Source organism: Homo sapiens, chromosome 11 (genome assembly GCF_000001405.40).
Source record: "Homo sapiens chromosome 11, GRCh38.p14 Primary Assembly".
Classification (NCBI taxonomy): Eukaryota; Metazoa; Chordata; class Mammalia; order Primates; family Hominidae; genus Homo; species Homo sapiens.
This window is the reverse complement of record NC_000011.10, coordinates 18,388,877-18,410,254: the sequence shown is the minus strand read 5'-3', so window position 1 is coordinate 18,410,254 and position 21,378 is coordinate 18,388,877. Positions and strand designations below refer to the sequence as shown.

At 44.8% G+C, this 21,378-nt stretch overlaps 1 protein-coding gene across 6 annotated transcripts, besides 6 other annotated features; it reads right to left on the bottom strand.

Annotated features, from left to right (window-relative positions):
• On the bottom strand, window positions 1,830-15,692 carry LDHA (lactate dehydrogenase A). 6 transcript variants are annotated; one of them, NM_005566.4, is made up of 8 exons: window positions 15,619-15,692; window positions 13,287-13,436; window positions 10,707-10,824; window positions 9,245-9,418; window positions 7,242-7,415; window positions 6,444-6,561; window positions 4,683-4,806; window positions 1,830-3,138 (listed from the first exon to the last, which is right to left on the bottom strand). In NM_005566.4, the coding sequence occupies exons 2-8, from the start codon at window positions 13,410-13,412 to the stop codon at window positions 2,974-2,976; spliced, it is 999 nt and encodes a 332-aa protein (NP_005557.1). In that variant the 5' UTR covers window positions 13,413-13,436; window positions 15,619-15,692; the 3' UTR covers window positions 1,830-2,973. The 6 variants fall into 6 exon arrangements, 5 of the variants coding, with proteins under 5 accessions (NP_005557.1, NP_001158886.1, NP_001158888.1 ...); NM_001165414.2 differs by lacking the exon at window positions 15,619-15,692 and adding an exon at window positions 13,645-13,904; NR_028500.2 differs by lacking the exon at window positions 10,707-10,824.
• Window positions 13,831-14,332: an enhancer, noted in NCBI's record as "OCT4-NANOG hESC enhancer chr11:18417470-18417971 (GRCh37/hg19 assembly coordinates)". NCBI's record gives its function as "activates a minimal SCP1, AML or CMV promoter by ChIP-STARR-seq in primed H9 embryonic stem cells {active_cell/tissue: H9 hESC(primed)}" and the evidence as "EXISTENCE:reporter gene assay evidence [ECO:0000049][PMID:30033119]".
• Window positions 14,787-14,836: a silencer, noted in NCBI's record as "silent region_3191". NCBI's record gives its function as "represses an Ori minimal core promoter by ATAC-STARR-seq in GM12878 lymphoblastoid cells {active_cell/tissue: GM12878}" and the evidence as "EXISTENCE:reporter gene assay evidence [ECO:0000049][PMID:35858748]".
• Window positions 15,067-15,732: an enhancer, noted in NCBI's record as "H3K27ac hESC enhancer chr11:18416070-18416735 (GRCh37/hg19 assembly coordinates)". NCBI's record gives its function as "activates a minimal SCP1, AML or CMV promoter by ChIP-STARR-seq in primed H9 embryonic stem cells {active_cell/tissue: H9 hESC(primed)}" and the evidence as "EXISTENCE:reporter gene assay evidence [ECO:0000049][PMID:30033119]".
• Window positions 15,597-15,686: an enhancer, noted in NCBI's record as "active region_4500". NCBI's record gives its function as "activates an Ori minimal core promoter by ATAC-STARR-seq in GM12878 lymphoblastoid cells {active_cell/tissue: GM12878}" and the evidence as "EXISTENCE:reporter gene assay evidence [ECO:0000049][PMID:35858748]".
• Window positions 15,733-16,397: an enhancer, noted in NCBI's record as "H3K27ac-H3K4me1 hESC enhancer chr11:18415405-18416069 (GRCh37/hg19 assembly coordinates)". NCBI's record gives its function as "activates a minimal SCP1, AML or CMV promoter by ChIP-STARR-seq in primed H9 embryonic stem cells {active_cell/tissue: H9 hESC(primed)}" and the evidence as "EXISTENCE:reporter gene assay evidence [ECO:0000049][PMID:30033119]".
• Window positions 15,997-16,086: an enhancer, noted in NCBI's record as "active region_4499". NCBI's record gives its function as "activates an Ori minimal core promoter by ATAC-STARR-seq in GM12878 lymphoblastoid cells {active_cell/tissue: GM12878}" and the evidence as "EXISTENCE:reporter gene assay evidence [ECO:0000049][PMID:35858748]".

The following is a 21,378-nucleotide window of genomic DNA, read 5'->3' as shown; positions in this document are numbered from 1 at the left end:
GACCCCCATCTCTACCCCCAAAAATAAAAACAAAATAAAATAAAATAATTTTTTTTGAGACAGAGTCTCGCAGTCTCGCCCAGGCTGTAGTACAGTGGTCCGATCTCGGCTCACTGCAAGCTCCGCCTCCCGGGTTCACGCCATTCTCCTGCCTCAGCCTCCCGAGTAGCTGGGACTACAGGCGCCCGCCACCATGCCCAGCTAATTTTTTGTATTTTTAGTAGAGATGGAGTTTCACTATGTTAGCCAGGATGTTTTCAATCTCCTGACCTTGTGATCCACCCGCCTCAGCCTCCCAAAGTGCTGGGATTACAGGCGTGAGCCACCGCACCTGGCCAAAATAAAAAAAAAATTTAAAGAATTTTTAAAGAACATGGCTTTGAAGTACTGAGTTTTATTTTGGCAACATGGGCTTTAGTGGGGGAAAAAAAGGAAGTAGAACCATGTTCTGAGCATCACATTTGCTTCTACACTAACTGGCAACTTCTGTGAGATGGGGATAAGGCCTGCTTAATTTAGTTCCCAAGGTTACTATGGAAAAAAAAAATCAAGTTTCTTTGCAGAGTTGGCCTATTCCTTGCCTGGGGCAGGAAGGTACAAACTGAACCTGGAACATTTATTTTGCCCATAAGTAAGGAAACTTTACAAGATTGCATTTGAAAATTCATGAAAGATTAATAGAATCAGTCTATTTCACTTAAATATTATTTTTCAGTCATGTTGGTATTGACTAATTTATTGTATCAAATAATATAAAATTAATGTAAATTTAAAAATTTTAAAGACTGAAGGTGACTCAAAGTTTACAAAAGGCTACAGGATTAAGTACAGGCCTCTTTTTGTGCTAATTAAAATATTCTTTTTTTTTTTTTTGAAACAGGGTCTCACTCTGTCACCCAGGCTGGAGTACAGTGGTGGGATCTTGGCTCACTGCAACCTTTATCTCCCGGGTTCAAGGGATCCTCCCACCTGAGCCTCCTGTGCAGCTAGGACTACAGGCACCTGCCACCACGCCTAGCTAATTTCTTTTTTGTAGAGACAGGCTTTTGCCATGTTGCCCAGACTGGTCTGGAACTCCTGGGCTCAAGCAATCTACCCACCTTGGCCTCCTAAAGTGCTGGGAATTTGAAGCCACTGCACCCAGCCTATATTCTAAGATTAGATACTGGTGATGGTTGCCAACTATGTGAATACACTAAAAATCCACAGAACGATACGCTTTATAGCTGTGTCCAACCCTTTGAATGTGAGGACTCTTTAGGTGGCAGCAGGTATCCAGATCATGAACTTTTTTGTAGCTCATCAGCTATCATTAGTGTTAATTTCTTTAATTTTTATTGAGACAGTCTCGCTGTGTTGCCCAGGCTCGAGTGCAGTGGTGCCATCTTGGCTCACTTCAATCTCTGCCTCCCCGGTTCAAGCGATCCTCTCACCTCAGCCTCTTGTGCCTCAGCTTCCCAAGTAGCTGGGATTACAAGCATAGGCCACCATACCTGGCAAATCTTTCGATTTTTAGTACAGATGGGGTTTCACCATGTTGGCCATGCTAGTCTTGAACTCCTGATCCACCCGCCTCAGCCTCCCCAAGTGCTGGGATTATAGGTGTCAGCCACCACAGCTGGCACATGTTAGTGTATTTAATGTGTGGCCCAAGACAATTCTTCTTCCAATGTGGCTCAGGGAAAGCAAAAGATTGGACAACCAGGCTTTAAGATAATTCCTTCCCTTAACTAGCTCTCAGGAAAGAATCTTTGGAAAAAGATCCTGGAGTTGGGAATGACAATAATGTTGTTCAGTTAACCTTTACAAGTATGGTTTTCAGGCCTGGATAAGGGTCACAGTTGTATTTTCAGAAAAATGTGCAGAAAACTTGAGTAGACATCCACCAAGGTTACTTGTTTTTTTTGGTTTTGTTTTGTTTTTTTAACAGATGGGGTTTTGTTGTGTTGGCCAGGCTGGTCCCCAATTCCTGGCCTCCAGTGATCAGCCCACCTGGGCTTCCCAAAGTGCTGGGATTATAGGCATGAGCCACTGCACCCTGCCTTAAGATTGTTTTTAATTGTTACCAGCTTCCAGAGGACAAGATCTCAAAAATCTGTGTTCCCTATAGTGACACACTATCATTGCCTATATTCAGTTGGCAAATAAATTTTACATTTACATATAGAATGTTACTTTCCAATTATGATTAGCATTATTATCAAATATATAATACTTTGGGACTTACAATGGAAGTGGTACCAATACAACTCAGTTGACTATTACATCCTCTGCTATTAGTCAATAATATCCCTGTTAGAAAAAATCGTTGCAGGGTTGCCCAAGAATAGCCTAATATTTCCAAATTAATATAATAACTAGCAGCTTTATGACTTTATATCTTAATATAATGAATTAACCAAAGTAGTCACTGTTCAAGGTTTATTGGGGGTTTTAGTTGGTATAACACTTGGATAGTTGGTTGCATTGTTTGTATGTAGATCTTTTTACATTATATGGTAATGTACACTACTGATATAGTTCACAAAATAAGATCCTTTGGAAGAATTATGCACAAGACATGATATTGGATTTATACACTGGATCCCAGGATGTGACTCACTGGGAAAAAATGTTGGACTAGGCATGTTCAGTGAAGGAGCCAGGAAGTTATATAACACACGGTAAACATCCACCTGGCTCAAGGGGCAAATGCAGTACGTACAGCATTGGCAGTGGTGCGTCAGAGGTGGCAGAACTATTTCACACTAACCAGTTGAAGACTACACAAGATTAATACCATCCAGCATCAGGATATAGCTGTGGATTTTACAAACCATTCTTATTTCTAACTTCAGGAGTTGATGTTTTTCCCAGTCCATCTTAAAATATTACTGCTTTAATCACAGATCAGATAAAAAGGACAACATGCACAACCTCCACCTAGAATCCTGTTGTAGCCTAGACAGTGAAATGATATGACATCAGAAGACTTTAAAATTGCAGCTCCTTTTGGATCCCCCAAAGTGTATCTGCACTCTTCTTCAAACGGGCCTCTTCCTCAGAAGTCAGAGTCACCTTCACAAGGTCTGAGATTCCATTCTGTCCCAAAATGCAAGGAACACTAAGGAAGACATCATCCTTTATTCCGTAAAGACCCTGAAGATGAAATGAAAAAAAAAAAATCTCACATTTTGTCTATGCATTCCCAGGTTTCCCAAGACTTACAGTCTCTATAATTATAAAGCTTTTTTTTTTTAATTTTTTTTTGAGGCAGAGTCTCGCTCTGTCGCCCAGGCTGGAGTGCAGTGGCACGATCTCAGCTCACCGCAACCTCCACCTCCAGGGTTCAAGTAATTCTCCTGCTTCAGCCTTCTGGGACTACAGGCGTGCGCCACCACACTTGGCTAATTTTTGTATGTTTAGTACAGATGGGGTTTCACCATGTTGGCCAGGTTGGTCTCAAATTCTTGACCTCAGGTGATCCACCTCTTGGCCTCCCAAAGTGCTGGGGTTACAAGCATGAGCCACAGAGCCCAGCCGCTTTTTTTTTTCTTTTGAGATGGAGTTTCACTCTTGTTGCCCAGGCTGGAGTGCAATGGTGCGATCTCAGCTCACTGCAACCTCCACCTCCTGGGTTCAAGTGATTCTTCTGCCTCAGTCTCCCAAGTAGCTGGGATTACAGGCGCCTGCCACCACACCTGGCTAATTCTGTATTTTTAGTAGAGACAGGGTTTCACCATGTTGGTCAGGCTGGTCTTGAACTACTGACCTCAGGTGATCCACCCCTTGGCCTCCCAAAGTGCTGGGATTACAGGCATCAGCTGCCCGCACATGGCCTTTTTTTTTTTTTTTTTTTTTAACAGAGGCAAGATCTCACTATACTGCCTAGGGTGGTCTCAAACACCTGGGCTCAAGCAATTCTCCTGCCCTTGGCCTTCCAAAGTGCTGGCATTACAGCTGTCAGTCACTGTGTGTGGCCTAATTATGAAGATTTTAAAATACAACTTGAGGCCAGGTGCGGTGGCTCACACCTGCAATCCCAGCATTCGGGGAGGCCGAGGCGGGTGGATCACAAGGTCAGGAGTTCGAGACCAGCCTAGCCAATATGGTGAAACTCCATCTCTACTAAAAATACAAAAAGTAGCCGGGCGTGGTGGCACGCACCTGTAGTCCCAGCTACTTAGGAGGCTGAGGCAGAAGAATCGCTTAAACCTGGGAGGCAGAGGTTGCGGTGAGCCGAGATCGGCCACTGCACTGCAGCCTGGGTGACAGAGGGAGACTGTCTCAAAAAAATAAAAAACTTTGATAAGTAGAAATTCCTTTCCAGGTGTTCAGTTATGATTTAATTAATAGTATAAAAGAAAGTCATTAAAAATAGTAACATAATGCTAACTTGAATATAATTTCTATTTTCCCCAATGGAGAAATAGTTTATTTCTTTTATAGTCTTCCACCTACCTCAGCATAATTGAACAAGACTTTTTTGTAGTCAAATTATCAAGTATCTATGTGTTGAACAGGCCTAATGGACATTAATCCTAAAGCTCAACCATTTCTTTCAAAAAAGGTAAGCTGTGGGTACATTAATTTATTTCACTTAAGTCAGTAATGGAAGACTTGTATTAATCTTTCTCAGAAGAATCTTTTTTAAAAAGCCAGCAAAAAGCATTCAAATGCAGCGTATCACTACATAGACCTACCTTAATCATGGTGGAAACTGGGTGCACCCGCCTAAGATTCTTCATTATACTCTCTGCCAAATCTGCTACAGAGAGTCCAATAGCCCAGGATGTGTAGCCTTTGAGTTTGATCACCTCATAAGCACTGTATGATAGGAAACCATAGGTAAAGGCAGAAAAAGCAGGGTGGGAGAAAGAAAGAAAAACAAAGTTTTCATTAATACACATTTTACAGTAAATAATGCCACAATGTTGCATTATACCAAGAATAACCCTTGCACACATGTATGCTAGGATATTATGTACAGGGATATTCATTAACAGTACTGTTAGTAACAGCAAAAACATGACAATCTTTCCAATGTCCTCCAACAGAAGAATGGATAAATCATGGTATACTGATACAATGGAATATTACACAGCTATCAAAAAATAAACTATAGCTACTTGTAAAAAAAATTGGATAATTCTTAAAAATATAATATTGAATTTTAAAAAGAAATCCAAGATAACATAGCATCCTTAACTCAGGATTATCTCAAGTGGGAGCGTGAGGGGGACAGAGGGATAGCTGGGGGAAAGAGCACAGAATCCACTTATTTCCAAACACCAGCAGAATACTAAATTCTGATTCAACAATGTTATTTGACAGATATTGTGTTTCTTTCTTGAGCTGGGTGGTGGGTTCACAGGTTTTATTTAATTAAACAAATACAAACAAGAGGGCCTTGCTTGACCAATCACAAGAATATGTTATGAACTAAAGATTATGATTCTTTTTTTTTTGAGACGGAGTCTCGCTCTGTCGCCCAGGCTGGAGTGCAGTGGCGCGATCTCGGCTCACTGCAAGCTCCAACTACCGGGTTCATGCCATTCTCCTGCCTCAGCCTCCCGAGTAGCTGGGACTACAGGCGCCTGCCACCACGCCCGGCTAATTTTTTGTATTTTTAGTAGAGACGGGGTTTCACCGTGTTAGCCAGGATGGTCTCCATCTCCTGACCTCGTGATCTGCCTGCCTCGGCCTCCCAAAGTGCTGGGATTACAGGCATGAGCCACCATGCCCGGCTATGATTCATTTTTTAATTCTATAGACCTGAGGTCCACACAGGACCACAAAGGTAAATAATGCCACCAAGTTGAAAGCTTCCCTATTTCAATAATTTTTTTTTTCCTTTGAGACAGGCTCTTACTCTGTCACCCAGGCTAGCAGGCTCTGGAGTGCAGTGGCAGGATCTCGCTTCACTGCAGCCTTGACCTCCCAGGCTCATGCGATCCTCCTGCCTCAGCCTCTCAAGTAGCTAGGACCACAGGTGCTCACCACCATGCCTGGCTAATTTGTGTATTTATTGTAGAGACAGGGTTTTGCCCTGTTGCCCAGGCTGGCCTTGAACTCCTGAGCTCAAGTGATCCTAGGGCCTGGGCCTTGCAAGGTGAGGCACATTCTTTTTTTTTTGGCTAACATGGTGAAACCCCATCTCTACTAAAAATACAAAAAATTAGCCGGGCGTCATGGCATATGCCTGTAGTCCCAGGTACCCAGGAGGCTGAGGCAGGAGAATCGCCTGAACCCGGGAGGCAGAGGTTGCAGTGAGCCAAGATTGCGCCACTGCACTGCAGCCTGTGCGAAAGGGCAAGATTCTGTCTCAAACAAAACAAAACAAAAAAACCACACAAGTTTTCTAACAAAAAGTTCTCAAATGCAAATACTATTACAATTTTAACCTTTTAAATAAAAATAGTAAATGTTAATATTCTGTGTTGCCAAATTGAAAGATTTATTACCTCTCAACCACCTGCTTGTGAACCTCTTTCCACTGTTCCTTATCTTTATCAGTCCCTAAATCTGGGTGCAGAGTCTTCAGAGAGACACCAGCAACATTCATTCCACTCCATACAGGCACTAAAAGAAATAGTACAGACTACATTTATTTTCATGTACCAACAGATTAGTAATTGTGATTCATTTTCCTAATTCTCTTATCTTCGGAGGAAGAATACTCAATTTTGGTAGATGGTCAAGACTACTAATGTAGTCATTACTCACTTTTAGATTAGATTTTCATTTACTTACATTATGTAAAACTAAGAATTTTAACTGTATTCTAACCTGTTTCTCTAGCCAATTGAAATGTTTAACCCATGTATATTTGAAATATAAAGATAGTATGAGAACATAAGGGGGGTTTTCTTAGCATACAGAACCTAATCATAACATTTTTCAACTGTGATAATATAACTTTTGTGCATTTGGATTTGCTCATCTTTTCAGGGCCAGGCAGTACAAGTCAGGTATAAACAGCTGTGATATTAAATGACTGAAGACATCCTAAGAACTACAGTCTTAAGATATCCATGGTAAGAAGAGAAATTTCATTTCCCGTCCCCCTCGCCATAAAATGCCATATAAAATGGCAACAATCTTAACAATTCTTAACATATAATTATACAAAATGCTAGATTTCGGGAAACCATTCCATCCTACTGAATGGATATTTGATTAGGCTCTAATTGAATAATATAATGCCCATCGACTTTTTATATAATCTTTTCAAAAACAAAAAGAAAATAACTTATGCTTACCACTGGAATCTCCATGTTCCCCAAGGACCCACCCATGACAGCTTAATGGGTGAACTCCCAGCCTTTCCCCCATTAGGTAACGGAATCGGGCTGAATCCAGATTGCAACCGCTTCCAATAACACGGTTTTTGGGAAAACCACTTATCTTCCAAGCCACGTAGGTCAAGATATCCACTATGAAAAAGGAGAAAATAAAAATCACCCATTATCCTCTCCCTACACACAAAAAAGATATACCTACTATGAAGAAAACACTTAACCAGATACTAGGTGATCATTAGATAATAATAGGCTACTCCAGATATATGGCTTTTCAGGATCTTGATATTGATCATGGCTAACCAATAATTTTGTTAATATTTTTAAGCCTCTACACTATGTATATCAAGTCCATTAATTATTCAAAAAGTAGTTTTGGCTGGGCATGACAACTCACACCTGTTATCCCAACACTTTGGGAGGCTGAGGTGGGAGGACTGCCTGAGGCCAGCAGTTCAAGACCAGCCTGGGCAACATAGCAAAACCCCATCTCTACAAAAAAACTTTTAACAAACTAGCCAGGCATATTGGTGCACGCCTGTAGTCCTAGCTACTTAAGAGGCTGAGGAAGAAGGATCACCTGAGCCTAGTAGGTCAAAGCTGCCATGATCATCCCATTGCCCTCCAGCTTGGGCGACAGAGTGAGACATGCTCTCAAAAAAAAAGTATAGTAACAGTTTTATGAAAATAAACTGTTTATCAACTAAGAGACAATTATGGGCCCGGGCACGGTGGCTCACGCCTGTAATCCTAATACTTTGGGAGGCTGAGGCAGATGGATCACCTGAGCTCAGGAATTTGAGACCAGCCTGGGCAACATGGTGAAACCCCTTTCTACTAAAACTTCAAAAATTAGCCGAGCATGGTGGCACGTGCCTGTAATCCCAGCTCTTGGGAGGCTGAGGCAGGAGAATTGCTTGAACCCAGGAGGCAGAGGTTGCAGTGAGCCAAGATCGAACCACTGCACTCCAGCCTGAGCTACAAAGTGAGACTGTCTCAAAAAAAAAAAAAAAAAAAAAGAGAATAACAATTATTCACAAACTTATCCCTTATCCAAGATCTTGGGCAGGTAATTTTAAGCTCCAACTACATTTAAAGGCATTGTATTCCCTTTAATGTTTTAAAATTATTAAAAAACAAAAAACACACACACACAAATCTCCTTAGAAGGGAAATGAAACATGAAAAATAAATGAATCACCAGGCACGGTGGCTCACGCCTGTAATCCCAGCACTTTGGGAGGCCAAGGCGGGCAGATCACGAGGTCAGGAGATCGAGACCATCCTGGCTAACCTGATGAAACCCCGTCTCTACTAAAAATACAAAAAATTAGCCAGGCGTCGTGGTGGGCACCTGTAGTCCCAGCTACTCGGGAGGCTGAGGCAGGAGAATGGCATGAACCCGGGAGGCGGAGCTTGCAGTGAGCCAAGATCAAGCCACTGTACTCCAGCCAGGGTGACAGAGCAAGACTCCGTCTCAAAAAAAAAAAAAAAAAAAAAAGAAAAATAAATGAATCAATAAATATGCGTGGCTGGGCACGGTGGCTCACGCCTGTAATCCTAGCACTTTGGGAGGCAGATGGACTGCTTGAGGCCAGGAGTTCAAAACCAGCCTGGCCAACATGGTGAAACCCTGTCTCTACTAAAAATATAAAAAATTAGCCATGTGTGGTGGCAGGCGCTTATAATCCCAGCTACTTGAGAGGCTGAGGCAAAAGAATCGCTTGAACCCATGAGGCAGAGGTTGCAGTGAGCCCAGATTGCGCCACTGCACTCCAACCTGGGCGACAAGAGCAAAACTCCGCCTCAAAATATATATATATATTTTAAAATAATATTCGAAAATATTTTTAAAAATGTATTTTTTAAAATATTTCAAAATATTTAAAATATATATAATATATATATCATATACTATCAGTTTTACTATAGCTTGTCAATTTTTATGCAGTCAAAAGCCTCACCTGGATTTGAAACAATAAGCAACTTGCAGTTCGGGCTGTATTTTACAACATTAGGAATGATGAATTTAAAGATGTTCACGTTACGCTGGACCAAATTAAGACGGCTTTCTCCCTCTTGCTGACGTGCCCCAGCCGTGATAATGACCAGCTTGGAGTTTGCAGTTACATTATAGTCTAGAGAAAAGGGGAATAATGACCAGATTAAGGCCTTTAGAATAAATTTTACCTAGGCAGCAAAAATTTGTTCCATAAATGCTCCACAAACCTTTCTTGTTCTTAGAGTTTTATCATTATGGCTTCTTAAATGGAGGAAGAGCATGTCAACATCTTCCTTGTAGTTTTAGTCAAGTTGTAACTTTATGTAACTACAATTAGGGAGAGCTGGAGGAAATCAAGTTTATTATTTGATTCTCCTATTAATTTCTTACATATCCTCAAATTTTTGATCCCCAAGCTCAACGTTCACACTCTTCCATACTCCTGTTTCTACTTAACTGGTGTCCTATCAGCCCAGGAACAGGCAATTTCGTGTGTGTGTGTGTGTGTGTGTGTGTGTGTGTGTGTGTGTGTGTGTGTGTGTGGTGGTGGTGGTAGGGGGACTTGTTTTTAAGCAGAGACAGCTTTACACTTAACAAACATATTTTGCTTCTAGATACCCTATGGCACAAGAGAGTTAAACCAGTGATGAAGGGAGTTGCCCATCAGCAAGGTGGCCAGTGATTTTCAGGTATCAAAATAGACACTATTTGGGCTCACATTCAGGTTTCTTGGCTGGTGCTGTTAAGTGTGAAAGGGTCAAGCCAAGAGTATTAGCTGAACAGGCTCATTTATTTACCCTATTCTCAACTTCGTGTGTGAAAGGATGTGGGGGCAAGTAAGTAACACAATGTGGTTAAATACAGACCTAAGGTTTAAGCTTTACTCATTACATTCTAATTCAGATGGTTTGCATAGCATGGACAAATTGGATTTCTATTTTAAACCATTTGCCAGAAATTGAAACTTTGATATTCACAGGCACCTAAGTGAAATTGTTCCCAGGCTCTTGCACCCGGCATTTAAAACAAAATCTTTAAAGAGCTAGGATTTCAAGCCTGATAAAACATTTAAGTCTAAAGCCGGGCACAGTGGTTCACACCTGCAATCCCAGTACTTCGGAAGGCTAAGGAGGGAGGATCACTTGAGCCCAGTGGTTCAAGACAGGCCTGGGCAACACAGTGGGTCCCCATCTCTACAAAAAGTAAAAAAATTAGCCGGGCATGGTAGCATACCCTATAGTCCCAGTTTCTTTGTGAGGGGGAGGGGGTAATGAAGTGGAAGGAGGATTGCTTGAGCCCAGGGTTCGAGGCTGTGGTGAGCCATAATTGTGCAACTGCACTCTACCCTAAGCAACAAATGGAGACCATCTGGAAAAAGAATTTAAGTCAAGCATGGATTATAATATAAACTTGTTGAAATCAACCTTTGCCAGAGACAATCTTTGGTGTTCTAAGGAAAAGGCTGCCATGTTGGAGATCCATCATCTCTCCCTTCAATTTGTCTTCGATGACATCAACAAGAGCAAGTTCATCTGCCAAGTCCTAAAAGACATCAAATCTTTAGTTAAATGGAAAATTGCCACTTCTAGATTTTTAGAAGAGCATGAAAAATTTCTATATTTCTGGCATAGGAGAGTTCTGTTACTTTATTAGTACAGTATCGAGATATTCAAAGTAGAGGGCACCCCATTTCAAAAGCTGACTTACAGATTACACCCTACATAGATAGCACTGACCCTCTCTCCAGCCCTGTCTCCCCACTGAAGCGAGCTCTATAGGAGTTCCACCACTGCAGATGTGGAAGCAGAACACTGGACTGGCAGTTGCTAGAATAACTTCCAATTATATAAAACTGCTCTGTCTACTCTCTCAAATTCCATCCTACACACCAATTTTAGGTTGTTATTCATTTAACTAGGTGATATTGACCAGCATCAAGACTTGAAATTAGTAAGAAATGTTCTGGCCGGGCATAGTGACTCACATCTGTAATCCCAACACTTTGGGAGGCCGAGGCGGGCACATCACTTGAGGTCAGGAGTTCAAGACAGCCTGGCCAGGCCAGGCACGGTGGCTCACGCTTGTAATCCCAGCACTTTGGGAGGCCAAGGTAGGCGGATCACGAGGTCAGGAGATCGAGACCATCCTGGCTAACATGGTGAAACCCCGTCTCTACTAAAAAATACAAACATTTAGCCAGGCGTGGTGGTGGGTGCCTGTAGTCCCAGCTACTTGGGAGGCTGAGACAGGAGAATGGTATGAACCCGGGAGGCAGAGCTAGCAGTGAGCGGAGTTCACGCCACTGCACTCTAGCCTGGGCGACACGGCGAGACTCCTTCTCAGAAAAAAAAAAAAAAAAAAAAAAAAAAGACCAGCCTGGCCAATATGGTGAAGGCCTGTCTCTACTAAAAATACAAAAATCAGCCAGGCGTGGCGGTGGGTGCCTGTAGTCCCAGCTACTCGGGAGGCTGAGGCAGGAGAATCACTTGAACCCAGGAGGTCAAGTGAGCCAAGATCGTGCCACTGCACTCCAGCCAGGGCAACAAAGCGAGATTCCGTCTCAAAAAAAAAAAACTTAAAAAGTTAAAAAGTCTGATTTCCGCCCATCTTTCAGAGATGGAATCTGAACTATTCCCTGGTTGATTCCATATATGAACCAATACTAACAGTTATGGATAAATAGGTTTGTGCAGTGTATAATACTGGCAAAAAATATCCTTATAGTTGCAACTCAAAGTTCATAGGTCCATTTCAGGCCAGGAGCACCAATAACAGCTTTAATACAACTGGATGTGGTCTATCGTTACCAAAAGTTATTCAAGCTGCAGATCTATCCCTAAATCATCCACAATATAATGAGTGTCAGTTACTCTTCTTACCCACACCTGAGCCAGAGGCCATCACAGAGAAAAAACATAGGCGGTTTGTAGGTGTGGGGAAAACAGCATCAATTTCTCATCTAGTGGGTAAGGAATAAAAGTTGGTGTATTATGTGGCCTTTCCTAAGAACATATGTAGAGTCACCTGTGTTGTTACGAGGCCTTTTCATAGCTCATTTCTGTCTTTAGTCCCTTCTCACTTGAATCCATTTCTATTTAGAACCCAGAATTCATCATTTTACTTTTATTAGACACTCCACATCTTAACTTCAGATTTTTTTTTTTGAGATGGAGTCTCACTGTCGCCCAGGCTGGAGTGGAGTGGTGCTATCTCGGGTCACTGCCACCTCCACCTCCTGGGTTCAAGCAATTCTCCTGCCTCAGCCTCCCAAGTAGCTGGGACTATAGGCGTATGCCACCACGCCCGGCTAATTTTTTGTATTTCTAGTAAAGATGGGGTTTCATCGTGTTAGCCAGGATGGTCTCCATCTCCTGACCTCGTGATCCACCCACCTCAGCCTCCTAAAGTGCTGGCATTACAAGCATGAGCCACTGTGCCCCGCCTCAGACATTTTAATGTTGTAAGCTGCCTCAATTTCTTTTAAATATAAATCAGCTTTCAATAGTGTAATAAGGAGTGCTTTACTCACAATTTCTTTTTTCTAATTAAATTTTAGCTCCATAATTGATAACAAAATTGCTATCCAAGGCACAGGGGCAATGAGATTTGAGTGGGAGAACTTATGATTTCCCATATAATTTTACCAATAAATGACAATTTTTGAATTGTCATTTTCAATTCAAAAATCACTTTAAAAGAATTTTGGCTCATTTAAAATCATGGACCCTTCCTTTTCATTGGTAGTCAATCCATGCATGTTAATACAGAATAATGAATTTTAGGAACTGGGTCTCCAGCCTGACAACCTTTGATTCTTTTTAATTTCAGATACACTTTTGGTGTATTATCATATTTCAAAAGTTTGTTTCACAGAAAGTTATCCGAATGAGTGCATAAATCTAAATACTGTTACATGAAATGTAATAATACAGTTCTAGGGGTAGGAGTGGGGGTAGAGGATGGGGTCAAGGTATGGGCTTCCAGTGTGGTAGACTCTCACTTACCTTCATTAAGATACTGATGGCACAGGCCATGCCAACAGCACCAACCCCAACAACTGTAATCTTATTCTGGGGGGTCTGTTCTTCCTTTAGAAGATTATAAATCAGCTGATCCTTTAGAGTTGCCATATTGGACTTGGAACCAAAAGGAATCTATAGGAGGAAAAACATTTAGTGTCACTACAGCTTCTTTAATGTTTATTAACCAAGAGATTTTTTTAAGCTATTTTACTTCCTTTGGGGGTATTTGCCACTATAAATCACTAGAGATGACTAAAAAGGGAGGGGAAAAAACCTAATGGTTGCCAAAAGAGAGTTGAAAGGCCTAATGACAGGGTCTGTGAAGAGTGAAGGCCCATACCTTAGCGTGGAAAAGGAATATCGACGTTTGGGTGTAAGTATAGCCTCCTGAGGGTTCACCCATCGCGGTTTATTAACCCCAAGTGGGGCTGGCCTTTCCTCAGACAAGATCACTCTGAGCTACTCCGGCTCCTACAGCAAGGACACAGCCAGGCTTCTCAAGTAAACACCAGAGATACGTGCAGAAAAGCCATTAACTGCCACAAAGCTCAAGCCCAAGGCACAGGAGCCTGCGGTGATCCGCGCGCATGCGCGCTTTGTGGCTCTCCTTCCCGCTCGGAAAGGTGGGCGGAAATCAGACTAATTGCTGGGTCCTCCGAACGCCCGGCTTTTACGCCCCGCCCAAGTCCGGAAGATGGGCGGGCCCAGGAACTTGTGCGCGTGCGCATGCGCATTACAGCGCGCAGGGCGAAGCCGATTAGTCTAGCGGCCTCCGGCCGTTGGGAAGCGGGCATCGGGCCAGAAGGCAGAAGGCTGAGAAGCCCCGCCCGTAAGCAGAGGCAATCTGGAGCTATGCAGCTCAGTGGGTGAGAGGGAGGGAGCTGGGATTCAGACTTCAGACCTAATGAATGCCCCGAAGCAGACGCCAGCAACGTGAAGCCTAGCTGGCAGCCTCCCAGGTCTGGCGCGCAGCCAGCGCCAGACTTTAAATCGCAATACTAGAAACCAGGGCCTGTTAACCAACCGGGAGGGAGGCGCACGGTGTGGCTTCGGCCGTGATCCTTGTTGCAAAGGCCTGTCAGGCCCAGTATGAAGAAATAGTTTCAGTACAGGGAGTGTAGAAATAGCTGCAGAAGGCCTGAGGCCTGCAGCCCTAGAGTTAATAGCTACTTGGTGGAACCCTCGAATTCTTTCCACCTTGTTAATCCAACCCTGCACTGCATTCGCTGGAGGAAATATCACAGGCTGCATCCCCAAAGTATCACGTCTAGTTTTGACACCACTCCAAAGGGCAAAAATCCGAGAGGACCTCTAGGCAGGCAGTCAGCCCAGAGTCACCAAGCTGGAGCCGGGTCTCTCCTTACAAATCACTGCTATTTCTAGACAGCCTTGTAAGGTTTCTAGCCTGGCAGGGGGAAGGGAGTTCCTGCGGACACCTGCTAGCTTCACTGAACGGCCCCGGGATCCAATGCTACCTTTAATGTAGGGGCGGAGGTGGGAGGGCATGGGATGAGGGAAGGGTGCGTCTAGAGGCGAGAGACATGCAAAAACGAGTTCTACACCTCACCTCTGCCTCCTACTCACTGGGAACTTAGAGATCCCTGACTGTCTCCTAGCTTTCGGTCTCCCTATTTGTTAAAAGGAGGAGTTGGTACCGGCGGATCCTACTCAACTGACCGTCTGAGGTGCGGAAGGGCTGGGATGCTGCCTGCTTCATCTTTGCATGCGCCGTGCCTAGCGCAGCCCGAGATACACCAGTAGCTTCTTAATAAATGCGCAAAGGGCTCCCTATAATCTGCAGGCAGCAGCTGCCCTCACGGAGCCCACCTCTCGAGCGTCCCAAGAGAAAAATGCAAGCCGCGTGGTACTCAGCCGCTTTCCGTCTTTCAAGAACCCGCCCCGGACAAGCTGAGGCTTTTTTGGCTCTATGGGCTCCGAGAACTGGACCTCGAGTTTTGCACCGCCCGCCGATTTCGAGCCCAGAGGTATCCCCCACCCTTAAGGCCTATCATATCCTTGTTCCGCATCCACCCGGGCTTTCGACCCCTGCTTGGGTGCGGCCACCTCCTCGGTTCCCCAGCGTGGCCAGAAGCCATGGTTCCCGCTTAGAGCAAAAGCAGAGCGCGGCGAGCTCCGAACACATGCGTTGTGTGGGCCGCCGCCCAGACGTCTCTGGGCTGTGCTTCTGGAAAGCGGCTCCTACACCTCCCGGGAGCAGGAATCCCTTCGCGAGCAGCGGAGGCCAGCAGAACCAGAGGCAGTTGGCTCTACCCGCCCATCCCTCTGGCGCCGTGCGCGCAGGGCCCTACCGTACCGGGAATGCACGTCGGGCGGTCGTCGGGGGCGCGTGGCAATGAGATCCGGAATCGGCGGCAGCGGCTGCAGCACTCTGAGCTGGGCGCGGGAGGGGCCTTAAGTGGAACAGCTATGCTGACGTCAGCGGGGGGGGCCGGCGGACGTGCGGGAACCCACGTGTGAGTCGGGCTGGGGGTGGATGCCGAGCCAGGCGGGGCACTGGAGAGGCCCGGGTGGCGCGCGCAGCCAGACAACCGACCGGCAGACTGCTCCACGTGCGCTGGGAGTCTAAGTAAGGTGCTGCCCTCCAACCACAGAAGCCGGGGTCGGAGCCATGAGCCTGAGTCAGGACGACCTTCAGTTTCCTCATCCATGAAACCTGGGGAGGTTACTCTCAGGAAGGCTTGGATCTGTTTCTTCTTCATCCCTGTTTCTCAGTGTCCAGAACAGCTTCTGGCACGTAATAGGCACTCCACAAATATTTGTTGAACGAAAGGAAGAAAATGCCTAGCAGTCAGTCAGTCTGTTCTTACCTAAGTCGAGTGACCTCCAAAACTCGACGCTGCTTTTCCCTCTGCTGCTAAGCCTACCAGCTCCCACTCACAGTGAAGCCTTGGCCTCTCAGGCCTTGCAGGGTGACTCAGTTCAAATGTACATTTTATTCTGCACTTTCTACTGCCCACCCCACTGGCATCTCATCTCGAGTCTCAACCATACCCAAGAACTGTCAGTGGCTTGTTTTTTTGGTTTTGGTTTTTTGTTTGTTTATTTGTTTTTTGGTATTTTTCGAGACAGGGTCTCACTCTGTCACCCAGGCTGGAGGGCAGTGGCGTGATCATGGCTTCCTGCAGCCTCGACCTTCTGGCTCAAGCGATCCTCCCACCTCGGCTCCCCGAAGTGACTGGGACTACAAGCGCGCCCACTTGCCCTGCGATTTTTTTTTTAATTATTAATTTTTTTTTTTTTGAAACGGAGTCGCTCTGTCGCCCAGGCTGGAGTGCAGTGGGCTGATCTCGGCTCACTGCAACCTCCGCCTCCCGGGTTCAAGCGAATCTCCTGCCTCAGCCTCCTGAGAAGATGGGATTACAGCCAGGCGCCACCACGCCCGGCTAATTTTTGTAATTTTTAGTAGAGACGGGGTTTCACCATGTTGGTCAGGCTGATCTCAAACTCCTGGCCTCAAGTGATCTGGCCGCCTCGGCCTCACAAAGAGCTGGGATTACAGGCGTGAGCCACCGTGCCCAGCTCAATTTTTTGTTTTCTTATCATACTTACCTCTGGGCCTGTATTCTTGCTGATTCCATTGCCTAGCCCGCCCTCCTCCATCTCTTCTTTAATTTGTACCAATACTTCCCCACTGTGGGGTATATTATGAAATATATTTGGTAAGCCCTTGAGTATGCCAAAATTTCCTGAATTTTCTGATAGGAATGTCTTTTGTTATTTATAAAGAGCCTTTTTCCCTGACTTAATGTTAATGAATGAGGAGTCTTAGATAGCCTCAGGAAGGAGCCAGTCATGGGAAAGACCAAATGATTAGGGAATTAGAGGGCTGGAACTTTCAGCCCAAAGGGGTGGATGGCTTTACTTACTCCCTGAACCTACAGCAGCAGCCCAGTGCAGCTTTGAGATAGATCCATAACTGAGTTTCTTGGTTTTGACGGAAAACTCTAACCTCAGCTCCAAAATAGCACAAGGGGCCAGGTGCAGTGACTCATGCCTGTAATCCCAGCACCAATGTGGTTGAGGTGGGAGGACTGCTTGAGGCCAGGAGTTCGAGACTAGCCTGGGCAGCATAGTGAGACCCTGTCTCAAAAAAAAAAAAAAAATAGCAGGGCATGCTTGCATGTTCTAACAGTTTTCCCATCACTCTAGATTCTAAGATCACTCTAGGTTCTGAAATGGGGCTCTCACCTCAAACACACAGCTGGAAAGTTTAGGGGTGGGCCACTGATTCTTCAGAGTACCTCAGGGCAGGGCAGATTGCCACAGTGTTTTCCGGTTTCTCAGTCTTTGCAACAGTGTTCTCAGTCAGGGCTGGGCCCCTGCCTGCCTACCAAATGTGACCACTGCTGCTGGGAAGAGGTGTGCAGAAGGCAGAGAGCTGAAGTTGGCTGGGGAGACGAAGAATTTTCACCTGAAAGGCTTGGGTTGGGGCACTCTGAGATGACCTGTGAAGATAAACTAGGTAGAGTCTTCATTCCCCTAATTTATGATACCTAGCAACAGCTTGCTCCAAGCACAGCTTCAGGCTTCTTAGGCAGAACAACAGCCAGTATTTGACTCCACAAATATGAATAAAACAAATACCATTTACTGAGCACCTGCTATGGTGCTGGCAGCCAGCTAGGTAATCCCCATACTCATCCTTTGGAGTAGGCATAATTATCCCCATTTTTCAGATATGGAAACCAAGGCTCAGAAAGGTAAGTGACTTTGCTAAGGTAGTGCAGCTAGTAAGTGATTTTGGCTGAGACTTTAACCCAGTGCTGACTAACCCCAAAGCCTATGATTTTCTCTCTATTATAGGATGTTGTCCCACATCACTCCATACAAAGGGCAAGAAATTATCTAGGGGGCCCAAACCAGTCCCAGGCTCAGAAGAGGCTGTGGGTGCCAATGGGTGTATCTGCTGAGACCTTGGTATTCTGCCCTTAGACTGGGACTTAGACCCTTGGCTCTCCTGATTCTCAGGCCTTTGGGCTCGAACTGGAATTTATACCACCAGCTTTCCTGAGTCTCCAGCTTGCAGATGGCAAGATCATGGGACTTCTCTGCCTGCATAAACACATAAGTAAATTCCTCCTCATAAATCTCTTTATATATATTCTTCCATTGGTTCTGTTTCTCTGGAGAACCCTGACTAATATAGAACCCTGACTAATACAATCCAAACAGTAGAACTTCTGTACTAAAGCCAGAGAAGAATGTGGAACCCTTGGAACAGGTCAGAAAACACTTTCAGGGGACAGAACAGAATTCTTAATCTGACCAAGTGTTCTTTGGATGTGGCCTCTTCAAAAGGGAAAACCCCTAGCACAGTCACTATGGAAAACAGTATGGAGACCCCTCAAAAAACTAAAACTGCAACTTCCATATGATCCAGCAATCTGAGTATATATCCAAAAGAAACGAAATCAGTATATCAAACAGATATCTGCACTCCCATGACTATTGCAGCACTATTCACAATAGCTGAAGTATGGATGAACTCAATCTAAGTGTCATCAATGGATGGATGATAAAGAAAATGTGTTGGCCAGGTGCAGTGGCTCATGCCTCTAATCCCAGCACTTTGGGAGGCCGAGGTGGGCGGATTACCTGAGGTCAGGAGTTCAAGACCGGCCTGACCAACATGATGAAACCCCATCTCTACTAAATAAAAAAATTAGCCGGGCGTGGTGGTACATGCCTGTAATCCCCAGCTACTTGGGAGGCTGAAGCAGGAGAATTGCTTGAACCCAGGAAGCAGAGGGGCTGGACATGGTGGCTCATGCCTGTAATCCCAGCACTTTGGAAGGCTGAGGCAGGCAGATTGAGCCCAGGAGTTCAAGACCAGCCTGGGCAACATGGTGAACCCCCATATCTACAAAAAATACAAAAAAAAAAATTAGCTGAGGATGGTGGTAAATGCCTGTAGTCCCATCTACCCAGGAGGTTGAGGTGGGAGGATCACCTGACCCAGGGAGGTCCAGGCTGCAGTGAACTGTGATGTCACCACTGCAATCCAGAGCAAGACCCTGTCTCAAAAAAAAAAATTTAAAAAAAGAAGAAAAAAATGTGCTGTATATACCCAGTGAAATACTATTCAGCTATTTCAGAATGAAATCCTGTCATTTGCAGCAACATGGATGGAACTGGAGGTCATTATGTTAAGTGAAATAAACTGGCACAGAAAGGCAAACATCGCATGTTCTCACTCATGTGGGAACTAAAAAATTTGGTCTTATGGAGGTAGTGAATAGAATGGTGGTTACCACAAGTTGGGGAGGATAGTGGGGATGAAGGATGAAGAGGGATTGGTTAATGGGTGCAAAAATACAGTTAGATAGGGCGAGTATAGTTAATAACTTATTGTATATTTCAAAATAGCTAGAAGATTCAGAATGTGCCCAACACAAAGAAATCACAAATATTTGAGGTGATGGATATACCAGTTCCCCAGATTTGATCATTATACATTTTATGCTTGTATCAAAATGTCACATGTACCTCATGCATATGTACAACTATTATGTATCAGTAAAATTTTTTTAAAGGGAAAATCCCATAAAGAGGTGGTTTAACCAAGGGACAAGCTGGCCTCAGAGAATAGATGCTGCTTAGCACCCACTGTAAGATTTTCCTAAAATGGCCCTGGCTGCAGGATGCTGTCCATCCAAAACATAGTGCTGAGTCATTCCTTCATCTTGTATTTATTATACGCCTCCTTAAGAGCATTCGGTGGCCCCTCATTGCCTCAAGAATAAAGTCCAAACACTTTGGAAAGACACAGCCAAACCCCTGTGATCCAGCGCCCACATCCCCTCTCTGGTTTTATCTATTTTCCTTCATGCTTCCTATGTACCAGTCCCAGGGCTACGCACCACATTCTCCAAATGTGCCATGTACTCTCTCACCTCAAGCCTTCCACCTAGGGAGTTCCTTCACTCTGAGTGCCCTCTCCTTTGCCATCATCCCTACCCACCTGAGCCCCACATAACCAGCACTCAATATATTCCTTTTTTTTGAGACAGGGTCTCCCTCTGTGACCCAGTGCAATCTCAGCTCACTGTATGCAACCTCCACATCCCAGGCTCAGGTGATCCTCCCACCTCAGCCTCCTGAGTAGCTGTAACTATAAGTGTGCACCACAATGCCCGGCTAATTTTTATATTTTTAGTAGAGACGGGGTTTCTCCATGTTGTCCAGCCTCGTCTTGAACTCCTGGGCCCAAGCCATCTGCCTACCTCAGCCTCCCAAATAAATTAATTCATATTTGTATATGTCTCTGTCACTGAACTGTAAGCTCCTAGTGCAAATAAACTTTTTTTCCACTGGGAAACTTTCTTTCCACTAGGAAAAAATGTTTTCCTAGCACAGGGCAAGAAGTTTTCCTAGCACCGGGCACAGTGGCTCATCCTTCTAATACCAGCACTTTGGGAGGCTGAGGCAGGAGGATCGCTTTAGCCCAGGAGTTTGAGAGCAGCCTAGGCAAAATAACAAGACCTCATCTCTACGAGAAAAAAAAAATTAGCTGGGCATGGTGGCGTGTGCCTGTAGTCCCAGCTACTCGGGAGACTAGGGTGGCAGAATTGCTTGAGTCCAGAAGGTTGAGGCTGCAGTGAGCTATGATCGCTCCACTGCACTCCTGCCTGGGAGACAGAGTGAAACCCTGTCTCAAAAACAAACAACAACAACAACAAAAAGGCTGGGCACGGTGGCTCACCCCTGTAATCCCAACACTTTGGGAGGCCGAGGCTGGCGGATCACGAGGTCAGGAGTTCGAGACAAACTGGACAACATGGTGAAACCTTGTCTCTACTAAAAACACAAAAATTTGCCGGGTGCGGTGGCAGGCACCTGTAATCCCAGCTACTCGGGAGGCCGAGGCAGGAGAATTGCTTGAACTCAGGAGGCGGAAGTTGCAGTGAGCCAATATTGCGCTACTGCACTCCAGCCTGGGTGACAGAGCAAGACTCCATCTCAGAAAACAAACAAAAAAACCCCACAAGTTTCTCATTTATCTCCATAACCCAACACATACATTTATTTGTTTAACAAATATATTTTGAATTAA

Coding starts and splice junctions, on each gene's coding strand:
- LDHA (NM_001165414.2), bottom strand. CDS start 13,707: ATGGGTGAACCCTCAGGAGGCTATACTTACACCCAAACGTCGATATTC. Junction 13,437..13,644: donor TATTCCTTTTCCACGCTAAG/GTATGGGCCTTC, acceptor TTCCTCCTATAG/ATTCCTTTTGGTTCCAAGTC. Junction 6,562..7,241: donor GGAACATGGAGATTCCAGTG/GTAAGCATAAGT, acceptor TATTTCTTTTAG/TGCCTGTATGGAGTGGAATG.